Below are 20,650 nucleotides of genomic sequence, written 5' to 3' on the forward strand. Positions count from 1 at the left end.
AAAGATAGTGAAAATAAAGAGCACATTAAAAAATAACTAGATGGAAATTTTCACTGTGAAACAGAATTTCTGAAGTGACACGGTGTTCACTTCTGATCATGGTCATTGTACAACCATTGAGTCTTTGTATAATTGCTGTGAGTAGTGTCACTACCATTTTCCCTTCACTTTTTTTCTATAGATATTTAAATGAAGCAACTGTATACATATTTATTCATTTTGTCAGTTATAATCAAGTTATTCTATCCTAATCTTTCTATCTTCACTCTGTGTGTGAGTCTGTGTGTACATAACATGTGATATTTATATCCATCTTCCTTCTTGATCATGAGCAACAGGAACCACCAATACTATTTTACTTAAGCTGAAATACATTTGAAATATACCATATAACTTGCAGAGTTGATGGGAAAATTTGAAAACCAGGGTGAGAAGATGGCAGACATCAAGGTCATCCCTAGGTTTTGATACCTGTACAGAATAGTCATTGCTTACTGCTGCCGCCATCACTACTTTCTCTTTCATTCCTCTGATATGACTATCTCTACTCCTATCATTATCTGATTTTCCTTATCTCTCTAGTCTGTGCTTCACATGCTTAATATTCAAATTCCTAGGCCAAAGTCACATGTACATGCCCTAACTGCTATAGGGTAGGGAGAAGAAAGGTCTCCTCTATTTACATTTCCTTGGCAGGAGGTAGGACACTGCATACCCTCAATAGTAGACACAATGCCAATTACTCAAGAAAAGAAATGGAGGATGAATGTTGGACAGCCAAGAAATGATGAAGGTCTGCCACATTTTTCATATAGGTTGGCTTTTTCTTTGAATGTTTTCACTTAGCTAGTGTACCAAAACAGTTCTACATTTCCACCAAATTAAAGGTCTGATTAGTTTAATGCCCTTCATTTGCCATATTTTTCTCAAGAAAGATTATACAGTGCATGAACTCATTCTTATTCAGTAAATTTAAATTTGAGTGGCATTATATTCCAACTAGTGCTATCCATGCCCTCAGTAATTTTATAGACTTGAGAGCCACCGTAAAAAATACTAAAGTTACAGTATGATGAGGGTTCTACTAAATATCAACTAAGTAATATACGGACACCAAGAAAGAAACAGAAAATTCTGTGTGGCAAAGTCAGAAAACACTTTCACAGAGCAGGGAATATTTGAGCTATGAAAGATGAACATGCAACAAAAAGGGAGAACATTCTTTGTTGAAGGGACAAGATAATGTCATCACAAAGCATTTTCAAAATGCCTGCTATATTTGTAAATAGGAAGAGATCAGTTCACTAGATGTATAAGAAGGCATGAAGGAGGATAGCAACAGATGAGTTCAGACAGGTAGAAAGCAGGCCTGATTATAAATGTTTAGATCACCAAGGAGTTTGTCTACGACACTACAGGTGACAGGCAACTCACAAAAGTCTTTAAAAAAGAAAGTGAGTTTTAGGGAAGATAATTTCAACAACAATGGGGAAGATTAATGGGAGTAGAGTCACGCAGGAAGACTAGGAAGGGCAGTGGTGCTCAACCTGTTTGGCACCAGGGACCAGTTTTGTGGAAGACAATTTTTCCATTGACAGGGATAGGGGTGGATGGTTTCAGGATGAAACTGTTCCACCTCAGATCATCAGCCATTAGATTCTTATAAGTAGCTCACAACCTAGATCCCTCGCATGCACAGTTCACAATATGGTTCACGTTCCTGTGAGAGTCTAATGCTGTTGCTTATCTGACAGGAGGCAGAGCTCAGGTGGTAATGCTTGTTTGCCAGCCACTCACTTCCTGCTGTGCAGCCCTGTTCCTAACAGGCCACAGGCTGGTACTGGTCTGCAGCCCTGGGGTTGGGGACCCCGGGTTAGGATGCTACTGTAATAAATGTAAAGTAAGGTTAGGATATCTGAATATAAATGTTGATGTGTTTGTGTGGCGGGGAGCGGTGTGTGTAGCTGAATTTGAGGTAGAGACAAAAAGTAATTAAACTGGAAGCAGAAATCTTAGAATGGGGAAAAGTAAGGCATATTTGTTCACAAAGTATCTTTTAACATTTTCTGGTTTCTGTGGAGTCACATTTTATTAATGCTGGTTGACATTTATCTACCTAGAAAAAAATGACAGAAATTTCAGGAACAAAGGTGACTATGAATTAGGTACCAATATTTTTGTGGATGATCTTCATGAAGTCAGCCAATAATGGAGATGAGTATGTGGAAAGGATGGATTATTTGGACTTTTTGAAAAGAAGTTATTGGGTGAACATGATGGCTCATGCCTGTAATCTCAACAGTTTGGGAGGTTGAGGTGGGAGGATCACTTGAGGCCAGGAGTTTGAGATAAACTTGGGCAACAGAGCAAGATCCATCTTTACAATAATTAAAAAAAAAATAGAAATTAGCTGTATGTGATGGCTTGCACCTGTAGTTCTAGCTACTCAGGATGCTCAGGCAAGAGGATCACTTGAGCCTAGGAGGCAGAGGCTTCAGTGTGCCATGATCATGCCACTGCACTCCAGCCTGGGCAACAAGAGTGAGACCCTGTCTTAAAAAAATTAAACAAATTAAAAAGAAATGAAGTTATTGAGTGACAGTTAAAGAAACTGATTTGCAAGTGGCCTTCAGGAGGCAGAAGAAGGCTACTTGTCTTTCCCCAGTGATTTTATGAATCCATTGAGGAGATCTGCAGAAGTGTTGTCACTGCTGGAGAAAACCAAGGCTTCACTTGCAAAAAGGAGTACTTTCTTAAAACTGAGAAATTTGGAAATATATCATAGGACTTGTAAAGCTATGATGGAAGTTAGCCCATGAGTGTGTTTACAGAAGGCAGAGCTAGATGGCATAAGACTCAGGGATGATGCAGGAGGTGATAAATATTTTTGTTTAGAGTAGTGAGAAGAGTGAAACACAGTAGATCTTTAATAATAAAATTTTCACTCATTTGGAATTATGAAAATTGTGTTTGAAAACCAGCTGTGCCATTTAAATTCTGGGTATATGTTTCTTCATTTGTAAAATTCAAGTTTGAACTAGGCTTCTTTGAACTAAATTCTTCTTGCCACCAGACAACAACCTTCTTCTTCATCACCTAGAGGAACATTGCCTGAAGCCTAAGGAAGCAGCCTTCCCTGTGCCACACAGAAGACCCCTTAATTGTTCAATGAATTTCTCATTGACTTGTGTAGTGCTTCAAAAGAAAACACTTACACATCAAACATGATTCTAAGTCAAAGTTCTTCATTTATATGAGATTAAAGAACTGGAAAACTGTACAAGAGAAATAGTCACCTGCTGATTGCAGGCCTGTGGGTTTCTTGGAAAAACTCAGCAATTTTGCTTATCCAGGACTATCTTTTTGCCCAGTTCCTCTGATTCTGAAGGAAGTTGAAAAGATAGTTTTCCTTTGCTGTATCCAACATCCTTTTCTACATTTGATTTAAGAAATGTCAATTTAACTTTTTATTGATACTGATATTGAAAATACATAAAATCCAAAGAATGAGATAAATCTTACATATGTGTCATATTTCTATAGATTTTTTTGACCAACATTTTATTTTGAAAATTTTCATGCACTTGGTAAGGTTGAAAGAATCATACAGTGAACACTATGTACTCGAAATCTAGATTCTAAAATTAGGCCAAGCATAGTGGCTGATGCCTGTAATCCCAGGGATTTGGGAGGCTGAGGTGGGAGCATTGCCTGAGGGCAGGATTTTAAGACCAGCATGGGCAACATAGTGAGACCATGTCTCTACCAAAAAAAAGTAAGGCCAGCACGGTGCTGCATGCCTGTAGTTACAGCTACTCAGGAAGCTGAGGCAGGAGGATTGCTTGAGCCCAGGAGTTCAAGGTTACAGTGAAGTATTATAATCATGCTATTGCACTCCAACCTGGGCAACAGAATGAGACCCTGTCTCAAAAAAAAAAAAAATAGTTAATGCCAGGCGTGGTGACTCATGCCTGTAATCCTAACACTTTCAGAGGCTGAGGCAGGTGGATCAGTTGAGGTCAGGAGTTCAAAACCAGCCTGGCTGATATGGCAAAACCCCGTCTCTACTAAAAATACAAAAATTAGCTGGGCGTGGTGGCAGGCTCCTGTAATCCCAGCTACTCGGGAGGCTGAGGCAGGAGAATCACTTGAACCTGAGAGGCGGAGGTTGCAGTGAGTTGGGATCATACTACTGCACTCCATCCTGGGCAACAGAGCGAGACTCCATGTCAATAATAGTAATAATAATAATGATAAATTAATTTAACATGTTTGAGTAGGGAGGAGATATGTGCTTTATCACATATCTATCCATCTGAACATATCTACCCATAAATCCATTTTATCTTTTAATATACTGCAAACCTCATTCCTATACACATGATCATGAATATCATTAACTGGAGTTAAATACTGCTAATTTTTTTCAAGCTCAAATTTATCTACATTGAAATGCATAAATTATCACCCCGTGTAACATTCACTCACTGAATGTAATATTTAATTAACAAATACATACACCATTATAATACAAACTGCTATCAAGAATATTATCATCATCCCAGAAATTTTCTTTATGCCTCTTCCCAGTCAGTCTCTGCCCCCAAGCTCCCAAAGGCAACCATTTTTCCTGTTTTATTTTCCTAAAAGATTAGGTATGTTTAAAAAGATCATATAAATGAATAATAGAGTATCCACTCTTTGGTGTAAACTTATATTATGTGGCATAATCCTTTTTGGAGTCATCAGCATTGTTGTGTGTATCAGTAATTTGTTCCATTTTTATGTTGAATAGTATTTCATTGTTTAAATACACCACAGTTTTTGTATCATTTCCCCCATTCATGGAAACCTAAGGTGTTTCCAGGTTTGGCTATTATGATAAAAACTTCTATGAACATTTTTGTTTAGGTCTTTTTAAGGACATGTAATGTCATTTATCTTGGATATGTACCTAACAGGGGAAAATTTGAAGGACTTTTATATTTATTAAAAACTACCTGTTTTCTAAAAGGGTTGTGCTAATTTACATTCCCAACAGCAATGCAGCAGACTTTTGATTGTTCTACAAACTTTTTAATATTTGATGTTGTCAATCTTTTTAATATAATGCCATTTAATCTAAAACATGAGAACTTTGTCAATATATAGGTCCAGTTACTGTGATCTCTCACCCACCATTTCTTTATTATAGTTGTCATATATATTCTATTTACAAACATATGCAATGATGTGATTTTTTGCCTTAAATATTAATATGCATTTAAAAGAATTTAACAGGGAAAAAGTCTATTGACATCAAATGTACTTATACTGTCTTTTATCATCTCCAATTTTCTATTAATCACATGTAGTGGATTTTTTTTTCATTCTAGATACTGTGTTACATTTTTCAGTCACAGAATTTATATTCAATATTTTTTGTTGTTACCATTTCTTTTTTGCTACAAGAATTTTCGTATGTGTGTATGTCCTTGAGTATAGTTTAAAAGCTGCTTGAAGATGCTTGTTTGCTTATTCCAACATCTGGTTGATCTCAGTACAATCTCCGTTGATTGCTTTTTCTCATAAGTATGAGTTACTTTTTATTGCTTCCTTGTATGTCTAGTATTTTTTTTTAATTGCAACCTGGATGTCATGAATAATAGCACATTGTAGAAACTCTGGGTTTTGTTATGTTCCTCTGAAGAGCACTCACCCATTCTTTTTTGTTGTCGCATCAGTTGGTTAACTTGACTGGGCTCAAAGTCCCAACTTTTTTCTTTCCTGTAGAGTGCAGAACCTAAAATCTCTGTTCAGTTTTTCAGCCCTAGCTGGGCTACTTGGAATCTGACTAGGGCAGGTGTAGGTCTGGCATCAGTGAGCAATTTGGACAGAGTTTATGCACAGATTGAGGCTCCCTTTCTGTGGACCTCTCTTTACACCTGCTGTGGCTATTTTTAGTTTTGTTCACTAGTTCTTCAAGCCAGTAAAACTGTGGGTTTCTATTTGAGTTTTAGCCATTCTGGAGCTCATCCAGTGCCTTTTCCTTCTAAGTATTCATAGTCTTCCTGGCTTACCTGTTCTTAGGTGCACTCCAGATATCTGGTGTTTGCTGTGTGTATATATATATATATACACACACATATACATACACACACCAAATATATACACAGAATTTATAGCTGTTATCTCTGGGAGCTTTGCTCCAATAAAAGCTACTTCACAATTATTAAAAATAGAACCTCCATAAGTAGATTTTAAAATGTTTCTGCCATTTGAAACCAAAAAGTGGGATTTTGAGAATGTAGATCATCAAAATCATGCCAACATGTGTGAACATACTACATTATTTGAGAAAGCAAATATGGTATAAACACATCCAAATAAAAACAGTGGAAGTTAGGTGATTTTTTTCAAATGTTTGCCATATTGTAGCAGAATTTCAGTTTTTCAAATTTTCACATGATATACACTTAGCCTTTTTCTAGATATCCTATTACCATATATATATATATACACTATAGAACAGAATATATTATTCTATATATAATATGAATATTCTAATCTCTAATAAAATACATAGTATAAACAGAATATTGTTTGATTTTTGTTCAGACATTGTTCCTTATAACCAGAACTCCAACTAAACTTATTTAGTCTAGTGCTATTCAGAAAAAAAATGTCAATCATAGTTGTATGGATAATGATCACTGGCTTTTATGTCATTAACATTACAGGACCTTAAGTTGAGTTAAGAAGATGTAAGTCAATACTCTCTAAAGGTTCATCAGCTATTTATAGTTAATTTACACTCCTAATGTTTACATAATCTTAACCAAGTAACACATATTGAATATGGAAATAAATATTGCCCTGGTGCTTTTGAATGGGAATAAGTAGGCACAGCATAATAGATTTAACATATAATGAAAATGGGTTGCAATCTATAATAAGACATGCTGAAGATTCAATAAAAGCTCAGATATTGATTCATTCTTCAAATTGGTCATTCATTAGCAACTAATTGGAGACCTTTGCTGACCAATATGCTTAACCGATTTTTAAAAATAAACAGCAAAATAGCAATGAAATTTCATAAAGCAACTATTCCCTGACCATAAAACAAGGCAATTAAATTGTGCAAAGGTTAATTTTGAGCACATAATCAGTAACTGTAATAGAAACAAATCAAAGAAAAGAATTGAAAGATCCTAAATGTAAATTTTATTAGTGTCTTTAGTTTTATGGTTAGAAAACTCTATGAAGCAACAATGGCATGGTGAGGGATAAGTTATTTGTTTTATTAAAGATTTAAATAAGCTTTACCAAGGACCAGATTTTGGTTCTACTTTAGGCCCTGACAAGAAGTCTTGTAAGCTTTTTAAAGAGCTCACTTCAAATCATAGTTATCAATCTTACTAATTCATAACTTTGTACATATCATTTATCTTCTCTGAGCTGCACTTCCTTCATTTTTATAAAGTGGAAAGAATTAATAAAATTTATACAATGGGTTATATGGGAATTAAATAATATGAAGAATATAGAATAGCTTCAGAATCAATGTTTCTTGTACTCTGTAATCCCTTTGTAGCTGTATGCTTTTGCTCTCTTTATTTATTTAATTATGTGGGATAATTGGTACATAATCCAATTCTATATTTTCTGAACATACAACATAAAGAAAATACTTTATCCCTGGTCTCTTTTCTTGGCTTCCTCCCATGATTGCTGAGGCCTGGGAAAGTACAGGCCTGGCCTGCTCCAATCAGGTCTTTCAGGGCAGACCAAAGCAGGGCACAGGGAGTCTTACCCATACCTGCAAAACAGGAATGAGGCCATGGTCAGGGTCAGAACTAGTCAGTGCTGAGGGAGGAGGCAAAAATCCGAGAGAAAAAGTGACAATGCCCTGGTGAAGTTTTAGAAATGTTAGCACCTGCCTGAGATGGCTTTTGTGTAAGTAAGCTGGCTGTCTTTGAAGGGGGCAGATGGAGCTAGACTGCTTAAACTCATCATATAAGCGAGCAAGAGAAGTATAATTTTGCTCTCCTTTAAACAGAATTCCCAGCATGTCTCTTTGTTCTTACTACTTATTTTTCTATACTGTAAATTAAATTTTTAAAGAACTGGAGAAAAGTCCACTAAAACAAATTACTAACAGTGACAAATAAGCAGTGCTTTATGTTAATATGTAAGTGCACCATTGTATTAGTCCATTCTCATGCTACTAATAAAGACATACCCAAGACTGGATAATTTATAGAGAAAAATAGGTTTAATAGACTCACAGTTCCACATGGCTGGGGAGGTCTCACAATCATGGTGGAAGGCAAAGAAGTAACAAAGGCAGGTCTTACATGGTGGCAGGCAAGAGAGCATGTGCAGGGGAACTGCACTTTATAAAATCGCCAGATATTATGAGACTTATTTACTATCACGAGAACAGCATGAGAAAAACCTGCCCTCATGATTCAAATACCTCCCAACGTGTCCCTCCCACAACACATGGGGATTACAGGCGCTACAATTCAAGATGAGATTTGGGTAGGGACACAGCCAAACCATATCCACCATTATGTTTATTCAATGTGTAACCTATATGTATCTGTATCTATAGCCACATCTATATCCAGACAATTACATAATCTTATATGTTGAAACAATTACAGATTCAAGTACTCTGACTCACTCATCATTTACATAAGCTTTCAGCAGAGAGACCATACTTATATGCCATTCCCTCTGCCTGATATGTTTGTTTTTTCTTTCTTCATTTTCCCTAACAGATAAACTTCTATTTCTCCTTGAAAATTCAGCTCAAGATTACTTCCCATGATAAGCCCATCTTAGTAATATTTTTATTCTCAGATCCTTTACTGTCTGGCATAATATGTGCTCAAAACATATTTGATGAAGGAATAGTTGTACCGTTAAATGCAAAATGGTGATGAATGACAAAATAGAAAGATATACAGACAAACTTTATTTAATCGCATATCATTTATTAACCTAGAAAATAAAATGTCTAAGATAGATAATGGCGTGGAGACCATCTAATTATTTTTAAATTTGTAACCTGACAAACGTCACAAAATTGTTAGGAAGTTTTCACTAAGGCTTATATCATGGAAAAGATAAAAAAAAATAAGGTAAAAACTTTTAAATGGTACTCTACTTTTTATAAAACATTACATTTTCTAATGAAATAAATAATACTTTATGAATGTTTAATATTTCTCTAACCAACAATTACATTAGCTTTCCTTATGTCACACTGACAGAATGTCTCATTGTGTTGGGGCCAGAGAGCACAGAGATGAGGGGGGAATAAATGTATCAGGAACAATAAATGAGATAGTGATTAAGTGAAAAAGTAAGTACCATTGGCAAATCAGGAAAAATTGGGAACCTCAACTTTCAGCTGAAGAAAAACACAAGGCAGGAGGCCAGATGAGAGTTGGGGGTCACTATTTTGGAGGAACAGGATTAAGGGATTTTTAAAGACATATGTATAAGGAGGGAGAAAAGAAAGAAAAGATTCTTTGGGGGCAGCTCTTTGGGAGATCTTAAGAATGACTGAGACAAGAACTGAGTTGTCACTTGATCTTTTGAATTCATTTACCTGTGGAATTTTTTGGAGTGATTACAATAAAGATTTAAACTATTTATAATTGCAATTTTTACTGTACTATTATCTTTTTTTAACAGAAAAGAAAACTTAATAGTCAATACATACTCTAATAATCAAATATTATAAAAATCTTCCTAATTTACTTTCTTTTTTAATTTTTTGTTTCTTTCAATGCAATTCTAAGGCCAACCAGGTCCGCAAGGTAGCACTAGATCTATGCTGGTTTCATAAAACATTGTAGATGCCATTCAGTAGAGTGATTAAGAGGATAGACTCTGGAGCCAGATTGCTTTGGTTCAAATCATAGCTCTGCTACTTGCTAGCTGTAATCAGGAGCGAGTTACTTAACACCTCTCTGCCTTCTTAATAAAATAGAGATAATAGTGGTATGAAGCTCATGTGGATGTTTTGTGTAGCAAATCATTGTAGGAACAGTGTCTGACAATAGTGCTTGGCACATTGCAAACATTCAACGATGCTGGCTATTATGATTATAATTATTATTATTATATGCAGATGATACAGACAAACATTTATGAGTCCAATATTTATAATCTAATTATTCGTTTATTTTACAAATACATTGAGTGCCTACTCTGTCCCTACTATGTGCCAAGCTTTGAGGATAAGGCAGAAAATACAAATTCAAGATCTAGAGATCTTGGTAAAAAAGGCAGAAAACACAAACTCAAGATCTAGGGATCTCAGTAAAATATCAAGCCATGAGATTTAGTCAGGAAGGTTTCTTTTTTCTTTTCTTTCTTTCTTTCTTTCTTTCTTTCTTTCTTTCTTTCTTTCTTTCTTTCTTTCCTTCCTTCCTTCCTTCCTTCCTTCCTTCCTTCCTTCCTTCCTTCCTTTCTTTCTTTCTCTCTCTCTCTCTCTTTCTTTCTCCTTCCTTCTTTGCTTCCTTCCTTCCTTTCTCTCTCTCTCTCTCTCTCTCTCTTTCTTGACAGAGTCTTCCTCTGTCTCCCAGGCTGGAGTGCAGTGATGTGATCTCAGCTCACTGCAACCTCCACCTCCCGGGCTCAAGCAATTCTCCTGCCTCAGGTTTCCAAGTAGCTGGGATTACAGATGCCCACCACCACGCCCTGCTAATTTTTGTATTTTTAGTAGAGACAGGGTTTCACCATGTTGGCCAGACTGGTCTTGAACTCCTGACCTCAAGTGATCCGCCCACCTCAGCCTCCCAAAGTGCTGGGATTACAGGCGTGAGTCACCACACCCGGCGAGGAATGACTTTCTATCAGAAGTTGAATTGATATAGACCTACTTGGCACATATATAGAGCTGAAACAACCTAGATGGTCGGCATATTTTCTCCATAAATAGAGTCAAATTATCTGTAATTTCAAATGTACTTTCTCCAAGAACAGATTTTTCAGTTAAAGAGTGGCTTTTGATGAGTGACTTTGCTATACTGTTATTGAAAAAGGGTCTATAATATGCAAATGCTAGACATGTATGAAGCACAATTGACATTAACTTACAGGAAGAAAAGAGACTGAATTTGGTTCTCAGAGGGAATAAAAAAATCTCCCCAGCCCTACACTTAGATGGACCTCTGAGATCGTATCTATGAAAGTTAAAAACTTCTATTATATCTAAGACATAATTACTGGTGTATGATCATGGACCACTATAATGGCTTGTTTCTGGCAATATATTGCTTTATTATATTGCTGGATGGCATGGAAAGCAGTAAAAATTGGTATTCCAAAGTAAACATTATCTATCTTCTCTAGTCTGGGATAAAGAAGTTTTAATAATTATTTACACTGAAGGATAATTAGAGCATGAAATGACCATGAAAAAATATATTTGCATAGTTGTGCAGAAACATTAACATGCAATTATGTCTTGATACTAGATATAAAATATCTGAAATGGAAGATGGAAGATTTAGTGGGATCTTTTACCAATAACTTCAACAGAAGATTTGTGTTTTAGAATGTGTCCTAGAGACAGGACCTTCTTCCTAGCTAAATATTAGAGATAAAAAATTAAAAAGAGGCTTAAAGTCCATACTTAAGACCCAGAAAGAAAAATAGTATTCTTTTGATAACACATAGTATTTATGTAGTATACTGAATTGTCAGGTATTTATCATTAATTATCTCATGTTGGGTTACTTTAATGCTCCGAAAAATATTTTATCTCAATTGCTTTTAAAATGTATCAAAATCCTAACTTTGTTTCTGGTCTACACACCTTCATTTGTCCATCTTTTTCAGGTTTATTCCCTGCTGTCCTGAATCTTGCTTCTAATGCTCTTATCACGACCAATGCAACATGTGGAGAAAAAGGACCTGAAATGTACTGCAAATTGGTAGAACATGTCCCTGGGCAGCCTGTGAGGAACCCGCAGTGTCGAATCTGCAATCAAAACAGCAGCAATCCAAACCGTATGTATTTTAGTGTGTAGGTGTGTGGCGCTGGGTAGGATCTATAATTGTGAGATGTTGAGGCCAAGTTGCATTAAATTCAAGGGTTTGTAATACTAAGAATTCCTAGAATTCTTTTTACCATTAAGAGCTTCTTCCTGGCCCCTCTCTGTCATTCAGCAAACATTATTGGAGTTCCTGCTATGTGCTAAGTACAGTGATTGGAGATGATTCGCCAGCTGAAGGCCTGTGGCAGTCATTGGGTTTACTAACTCCAGATACCAAAGTGGTTTCTGAGGGTGTGGTTATTAACTCAGGCTGTCATCATTCATTGGTAATTTATGTGCCAGATATTGTGCCTGAGATCCAGGAGGAATAAGGTAGGATATCGTCTTTGAGCTACTGATATATAGTGTGGTAAGTACAAAGGAAAGAATGAGCACAGCGTTCTGCAGAAGAGAGAGGATGGCCACAAAGGCTTGGTGTAAGTAAAGGCTTGCCAGAAGGAGCGATATCCAAGCTGATGACCAAGGACATGAGCTAAACAAGGGTATGAGATAAACAGGTAAAGAGGTGAGGGAGGGGAAGAGGAGAAGTCATGCCAGGAAGAGAAATCAGAATTAGACAGAAAATCCTAGTTACTCGGGGAGCTACAAGTAGGAATGACTAGAACTGAAAGTGCCAAAGGGCAGAGAGTAGAGATGAGACTAGAGCAAAAGGCTGGAGCCAGATTATGAAGGCATTTAACAACCACAGGAGAAGTGATTTAGGGAGAGGCACCATGTAAAGCCCTCTTTCCAGCCTCTATGAACCACAGTGATACCTCAGACTCATTGATGTATTTATTCAACAGGCCTTTGAACACCTCCTACTAGCAAAGCATTGTATTGGAGCATAATGTTAAATTACACATAACCCCTGATTCAGAGGACCTAGAGGGGAAATAGAGGCAAAAGAAAAGTAAATTCAGTGCTAAAATAACATGAATGCTCCATGTAGATGCTAAAGTCATCTAAAGATTTCTGGCTAAGAAATCTTTATATCTATATATCTCTATCTGTATCTATCTTTCTGACATGCCTTCTTCTCTTCTCCTCGCTTACCTCTCTCTCTCTGTATATATATAATATATATATAAAATATATATAGCAGGTAGATATATACTTATATGTAATCTACATAAAGGTAAAAATATATATTATTTATATTTATTTATATTATTTTTAATGAACAGATATATTATTTTATTTTTATTTTGTTTTTGAGGCAGAATCTCACTCTGTCACCCAGGCTGGAGTGCAGTGGTGCGATCTCAGCTCACTGCAACCGCCATCTCCCGGGTTCAAGCAATTCTCCTGCCTCAGCCTCCCGAGTAGCTGGATTACAGGCACGTGACACCATGCCTGGCTATTTTTTGTATTTCAAGTAGAAATGGGGTTTTACCATGTTGGCCAGGCTGGTCTCAAACTCCTGACCTCAAGTGATCACCCGCTTCAGCCTCCCAATAGATATATTTTTTGTTAATATTATTTCATATATAATATATTAAAAGGTAGATATATATTATATGTAGAGAGATATATTTTACATATCTATAGATCGATCTATAGATATCTATATCTATAGATCGATCTATAGATATCTATATCTATAGATAGATATATAGAGGCCAGAAAGTAAATGAATTGATGGATTATTAGTTTCAGGTTCATTAGGCAAGATGATAAAGCCTGATGGAGGGAAACCACCATTGGTTCAGAGACTGGTGGCCTTGAAAATTTCATGAAGAATATGAGAAAGCCCAGGGGCATGAACGGAGTTGTGGGGAGGAGGTGCGAGTGTGTAGATGTGTGTTTAGGATGGGCTGTGCAGACGGGGAGAATTAGAGAGATAAAATATGTAAAACCATAAGTGTGTGTATATGTATGCAGGTATATATATATATATGTAGAGAGAGAGAGAGAAAGGAGGTAATAACGTGAATACTTAATGCCAAGTGAGGTGAACTATGATGGGGGTAAAGCTTCACAATTATATTATTTTAAAATTTGCTTAGTATTTCTTCTCCTTTTTTTTTTTTTTTTTTTAGGCAGAGTTTCGCTCTGTCGCCCAGGCTGCAGTGCAGTGGCGCGATCTCGGCTCACTGCAAGCTCCGCCTCCCGGGTTCACGCCATTCTCTTGCCTCAGCCTCCCCAGCAGCTGGGACTGCAGGCGCACGTTGCCACGCCCGGCTAATTCTTTTTTTTTTTTTTTTGTATTTTTAGTTGAGACGGGGTTTCACCGTGTTAGCTAGCACGGTCTCAATCTCCTGATCTCGTGATATGCCCGCCTCGGCCTCCCAAAGTGCTGGGATTACAGGCGTGAGCCACCGCGCCCGGCCTTTTCTCTGTCTTTTTAAATAGACCTTATTTTTAGAGCAGTTTGAGGTTCACAGCAAAATTAAGAGGAAAGTACAGAAATTCCCCATATTTCCCCCGCCCCAACACATGCGTGGACTTCTCCATTACCAAAATCCCCCTCCAGAGTGCTACATTTGTTACAGTCCATGAACCTACATTGACAACAGCATCACCCAAACTTCATAGACTGCATTAGGGTTTACTTTTGGTGGTGTACCTTTTATGGGTTTGGACAAACTTATAATGATATATATCTACCATTAGAGTATCACGCAAAGTAGTTTCATTGCTCTTTTTTTTTTAAATTATAAAATGTATAAAATGAGAGCTTTTTCTCACAATTTACATTTTTTATCCCAAAAAGAAAATTGAAAGGCATTGTGCCTTTTTTCTTGGAGCTGGTTAAAGAGAGGCATGCATAGTCCCCTCATTATATAATTTAGGAATGCAGAAAACATTACTATATTTCAGCAATTGACACTTGTTTGATTAAAATTAGTGGTCGTGTGTATCACAGAATATCAGAAAACATGTTAAGACACCAAAGAAGGCAACCACCAGAAACCTTTCCTATTAATGACTCTGGTTAATTTCTTTCTTTTTTGTTTTGTTTTGTTTTGTTTTATTTTGAGACGGAGTTTTGCTCTTGTTGCCCAGGCTGGAGTGCAATGGCACGACCTCGGCTCACCGCAACCTCCGCCTCCCGGGTTCAAGAGATTCTTCTGCCTCAGCCTCCTGAGAGGCATGCGCCACCATGCCCGGCTAATTTTGTATTTTTAGTAGAGACGAGGTTTCTCCATGTTGGTTAGGCTGGTCCCGAACTCCAGACCTCAGTTGATCCAACTGCCTCGGCCTCCCAAAGTGCTGGGATTACAGACATGAGCCACTGCGCCCGGCCGACTCTGGTGAATTTCTCGGATGTAAGTTGTTATGGTATGTGTGTAGGAGTGGGGAGTATAGTTGCATACCCATGTGTTTGCTAGCTCTTGTATAGAATGTAAGAGGAAAGGACATATGTCAGAGCCCTTTGCTTTTATGTAAAAGCCAAGGGAGTTCAGGTAAATGGAGTCAAGGCAATAAAGGGAAACAGATTTCAAGGGAAAAAAATCAGGAAAATGAGGCATTAGGTATGTGATGAAGGAAAGAATTTTTAGGAAGAAAAAGTAACAGTTTTAAATGCTTCGAAGATAATTGAGTAAGAAAAGCATAAAATAGGTTTCCCTTGCTTTTGACAACATGGCCATCCATTGAACACCTTTCTAAAGTACTCAGCAGATTCATAGTGGCAAGAGGCACACTGAAGAGGTAATAAATGAATGATGAAGAAGAAGAGGGGACTATAGAAATATTCTGTCAAGTATCCTTGATGTGAAAGAGAATGAAGGACAGAGGAGGTTGTGGAGTTGCAAAGGTTTTCAAAGATAAGAGACATTTGAGTTGGTTTAGATGCTTGGGGGGAAAGGCAGGGAAGTTGAAGACCAAGTGGTGGTGGGCATGGTGTCTCTCTAGAAGTAAAAACATATGGGTCATTAAGCATAGGCAAAAACCTTATATTAGAAGATACATACTTTTAACTCACCAAATCAGAAAGAAGAAAGAATGAATAGCAGCAGTCAGCAGAAAGTGTTGGGAGAAATTTCTTATTTGATGATCTTGATTTCTTCATTAAGATGTAAATCTGGGTTACCTGCTGAGGAAAGAAGCAAACATTTAGATTATGAGCCTCTCAGGGGAATAGGAGGGGATCACTGAGCCGTAATCAGAATAAAGTGGCAATTCCATATGGAGTAAAATAAAGAATCAAACGTGTGGACTGATACTCTTGGAGCATTACAGGGAAAGTAGAATGGAAAGAGAAGATGGCAAGAAAATTGAAGAAAAGGTCAGAAAGTAAATGAATTGATGGATTATTAGTTTCAGGTTCATTAGGCAAGATGACAAAGCCTGATGGAGGGAAACTACCATTGGTTCAGGGACTGGTGGCCTTGAAAATTTCATAGAGAATGTGAGAAAGCCCAGGGGCATGAACGGAGTTGTGGGGAGGAGGTGCGAGTGTGTAGACGTGTATTTAGGATGGACTGTGCAGACAGGGAGAATTAGAGAGATAAAATATGTAAAACCATAAGTGTGTGTATATGTATGCAGGTATATACATATACTTATGTATTTATTAAATATTTAAATTAAACATGAAATATATGATATGTAATATAATATACTTATATAATATTAAATAAATTTATATAAATAATATACACATATAAGTATAAATATTATGTATATATAATAATATGTACCTATGTGTATATAATATTTACACTAGAAAGGCAAGAAATAAGAAAATGTATCCAATCATAAAAATGGGATGGAGGAATGATGCAAAGATTGGGGTAGAAAATAATTTAGTTCTCCACTCAATTATTTTTATTCTTGGCTGGAAAAATGGATGAGATGCATTGTCAGATTGAGTCCAAAAGCTATTCTGTCTTTCACCCTCTTGAAAGTTCTACATTCAGAGTATCTTTTGTCTCGTGGAAGATAAATATATTCAGCCAATACTATCCATGTTTTCACATTGAAACCAAAAATGAATCAATTATTTCAGTAAAGCAAGGTGTATATAAGTTATGATTTGTATTTCCCCATTTTTATTTACCTGTAGTGTTTTCTAAACCAGTCACAGTCTGGATTTACTTTACATTATTATTATTTATTATTATTATTATTATTATTATTATTATTTGAGATGGAGTCTCACTCTGTCACCCGGGCTGGAGTGCAGTGGCACAATCTTGGCTCACTGCAACCTTCGCCTCCCAGGTTCAAGCGATTCTCAAGCCTCAGCCTCCTGAGTAGCTGGGACTACACGCGTGTGCCACTGCGTCTGGCTAATTTTTTTGTATTTTTAGTAGAGATGGAGTTTCACCGTGTTGGCCAGGCTGGTCTTGAACTCTCGACTTCACATGATCTACCTGCCTTGGCCTCCCAAAGTGCTGGGATTACAGGTGTGAGCCACCGCGCCTGGCCTGCATGATTATTTTTAAATGACCAGATTCATTCCACATTTCCAGATTATGCTTTGATACTAGAAATTTAGAAAGAATAAAACCCCACAAGAATAAAAATCTAGCAATCAACTGCATGAATATATTTTAGTAAAAGTTGGAGCAACAGATGATAAAATTCCACAAATTCAGTGAACTCTGAGAATAAATATGGAAGGTCCGCAGTTAATTATCCTGCAAAGAAAACGAACCTTGAACTTTCTGTTAATAGACTTTGCTTCCCAATTAAAAGCTAGCAGTTTGAAAGGTTTACCTCATCAGCGATTCCCTATCCAGTTTTCAGATGCAGTTAGCCCTTGGATTGACTTGCATATTTATCCCTGTTGAGGATGTTATACGTTTCTATCTCCTTTTAAATAAGGGAACTTTGCCAACAATTCGTCAGTATTTGCAAATTAATTATGATTAAACTTTCATAATAGGGATTATGGTTAATTGTTGATTCATCTCCCAGTCCTCCTTTTTGTGACTAATTCTCTTATCAGTTTGACCTGAGGTGGCAGATACCACAATTTCCTATTAGACAACTTCTCTCACAATTACCTAAGAGCCATGAATTTGATTTAGAAATGGGGTTGTATGTGTGTGTTTTTCTATCACATATTAAACGCACAATCTGTAAAAAAGATTCAGGAGGATGTTTGGGAAATGTTTTCTGTGATATTTATTTTTCTTCAGAAGAAGTGCCAACAATATTTCATTTATGGTTTTGATTCCCCATATGCCAATTTCAGCACCCTCTTATTTCACCAGGGTCATTTATTTGGTATTTAGTTATGCTTCTGATATTTGCTGTCATCATAAAGACCTGACATCTTCCCTAGCTTCAAAAGAACAATTTGACTAATGCTAACATTTAAATATATTCAGAAATTTTACTTTTCATTAATGAGACAGGAAGCCTCATCTCTATGGACTGCTAACATGATGATTTGGTGGAAAATAAAGTCCAGCCAGCTGTTAAGTTGAATTAAAAAATTTACCAATAATAATGGAATATTTTTGCCCTGTCTTGTACAGTCATATTAAGATTTGCAATATGAATATCCATATCTGGAATAGGACTATAATACCATAAATAGCTTAAAACATAGTCTTCATGTTTTCAGTAAATGTTATGACAGTGTATTATATATTAATTATAAATTAATATGTAATACAAATCTTCACAAATCTGAAAATGCCAAATTTAGTGAATATTCAGCTTTTTAAATTTTGAAATGGAGTCTCACTCTGTCACCTAGGCTGGAGTGCAATGGCGTGATCTTGGCTCACTGCAACCTCTACCTCCTGGGTTCAAGTGATTCTCCTGCCTCAGCCTCCCAAGTAGCTGGGAATACAGGCACCCGCCACCATGCCTGTGCTATTTTTTTTTTTTTTTCATAGAGATGGGGTTTCACTGTGTTGGCCAGGCTGGTCTTGAACTCCTGACCTCAGGTGATCTGCCCACCTCAGCCTCCCAAAGTGCTGGGATTACAGGTGTGAGCCACTGCACCTGGCCAATATTCAGCTTTTAATAAAATTTTTCTTTTAAAGATGATTTTACTTTCTATCAGATTCCTATTGCATTGAGGACTTAGTTTTGCTTTATTTTTATTGTTTTTTCAAATGTTTTACCAAGTACAACTTGTCTCTAAGATTCAAAACAGTGTACATTTTGAATAGATGTATCATTTATTTTATGTATATGCATAATAATGGTTAGAATGCTCACAGTTATACTGTTCATCAGTAACCCTGTGAATACAGGGTTCACATCCAAGATGTTCTCACTGGTCCGTGGCAAAGTAAGAAAATGAGAACAACTTTCCACATTTTTCATAAAAATAGAAAGGATACAATTTAAATAATTGTCCTCCATTTTGATATTATGGGTTTTAAAAACTAATGATGGTTTTTAAATGCCCTTTGTTTCATGAAATAATAATGATGCTTTATTAAATGATAGAAATATATTGGAGGTTATTATTACTTGGAAAAACTAAGAGCTAGAACTCCTATATCAATTTCACAAATCGATCACACATTTATTTTTAATTTCATATTTTTTCTCTGAAAATTATGAATCTGGAAACCACTGCTGTGAGCGGAATTTTGTTATTCCTAGATCAGAGATGACACATAATGTTGAATGATTTGTCTGTGGTCAGTTACGTACTAAGTGGTGGAGCCAGGAGGAATATCAGCTACCCGTGTGCCAGCACCTCATGGTCCCCCTCTCATCACCATTATTATTAGAATACATGGCTAGATTGCAATATTAGGTAGGCAAATTGAGAGTCCATGTTTGTTCCTCATAGCAATGTGATTTGTTCCTTATGTGAGGTATTCCTTCAAATTTAAAAAGGATTGTGTTCTAATCTAAAAGGTCATTCATAAGCCACTCATTCGAAACATCTTCCCAGATACTTAGTTTTATGAAATTCTCAAGACTGACACCCCAAAGCATCCTTAATCTATAATAAACACAGGAGTACAGGGAAGCTCACCTCCACTTTGTTTACATTTCTATGGGCAAATGTGCCGACTTTCTAGTGAGATGTGAGGAATTTAAGTGCCCTTACTGCAGCCTTGGGAATAGAAACAGGATCATCAACAGCCTCCACTCCTGCCATCCTCACCCATGCATGAGCAAGGCCTGTTTAGAGAGGGAGAAAGAAAAAGACCTTATATTACTTGGAAAATGAGAAGCAAAGATTTTAGACAAGAACCAATGACTGGGAACCAAAATGCAATGAGGGCTTGGCAGCCCAGGAGTAGTGGCTGCTGTTGTGAGACACATGGAGCTAAAATGGGAGAGATGAGAAACTGTGAGCTTTGAGGATTGTAAGAAGGAAGGGAGCTGCAACAAAGGTCACAGGTCTGTGGGGTTGCCACGCCTCCTATTTTCTATCTCTAATCTCCCTTTTGATTTTCACAATTGGTCCTGTTCTTATATGTCTGGGTGAAAGTAAGGGAAGATCTGTGGTTTTTGGTAGGATAGAGTTTCATGTGCCATCATCTCCTTCCTTGCCATTATTGTAAAGATTCCTCCACTAGAGTTAGTGATGATGGCAACAGACAAATGCCGGATGAGAGGTTTGGGTTATCTCTCATATTATTAAATAGTGATAGAAAATTGGCAAGTTAAAGACTGGCCGCAAAAAGCTTCTGTAAGGGCCAAGGGAAAACTTCTCTTTTGCCCTCTGAAGG

General features: G+C 36.8%; 1 protein-coding gene across 2 annotated transcripts in view; it reads left to right on the forward strand.

Moving 5' to 3' along the window:
• LAMA2 (laminin subunit alpha 2) overlaps nucleotides 1–20,650 on the forward strand; it is a 633,429-nt gene that overhangs the window by 154,936 nt on the left and 457,843 nt on the right. For both annotated transcript variants that reach the window (NM_000426.4, NM_001079823.2), the window contains exon 2: nucleotides 11,845–12,015. In NM_000426.4, the coding sequence (NP_000417.3) occupies nucleotides 11,845–12,015 (171 nt within the window). The remainder of the gene's footprint in view (nucleotides 1–11,844; nucleotides 12,016–20,650) is intronic.

This window comes from Homo sapiens, chromosome 6 (assembly GCF_000001405.40).
Source record: "Homo sapiens chromosome 6, GRCh38.p14 Primary Assembly".
Classification (NCBI taxonomy): Eukaryota; Metazoa; Chordata; class Mammalia; order Primates; family Hominidae; genus Homo; species Homo sapiens.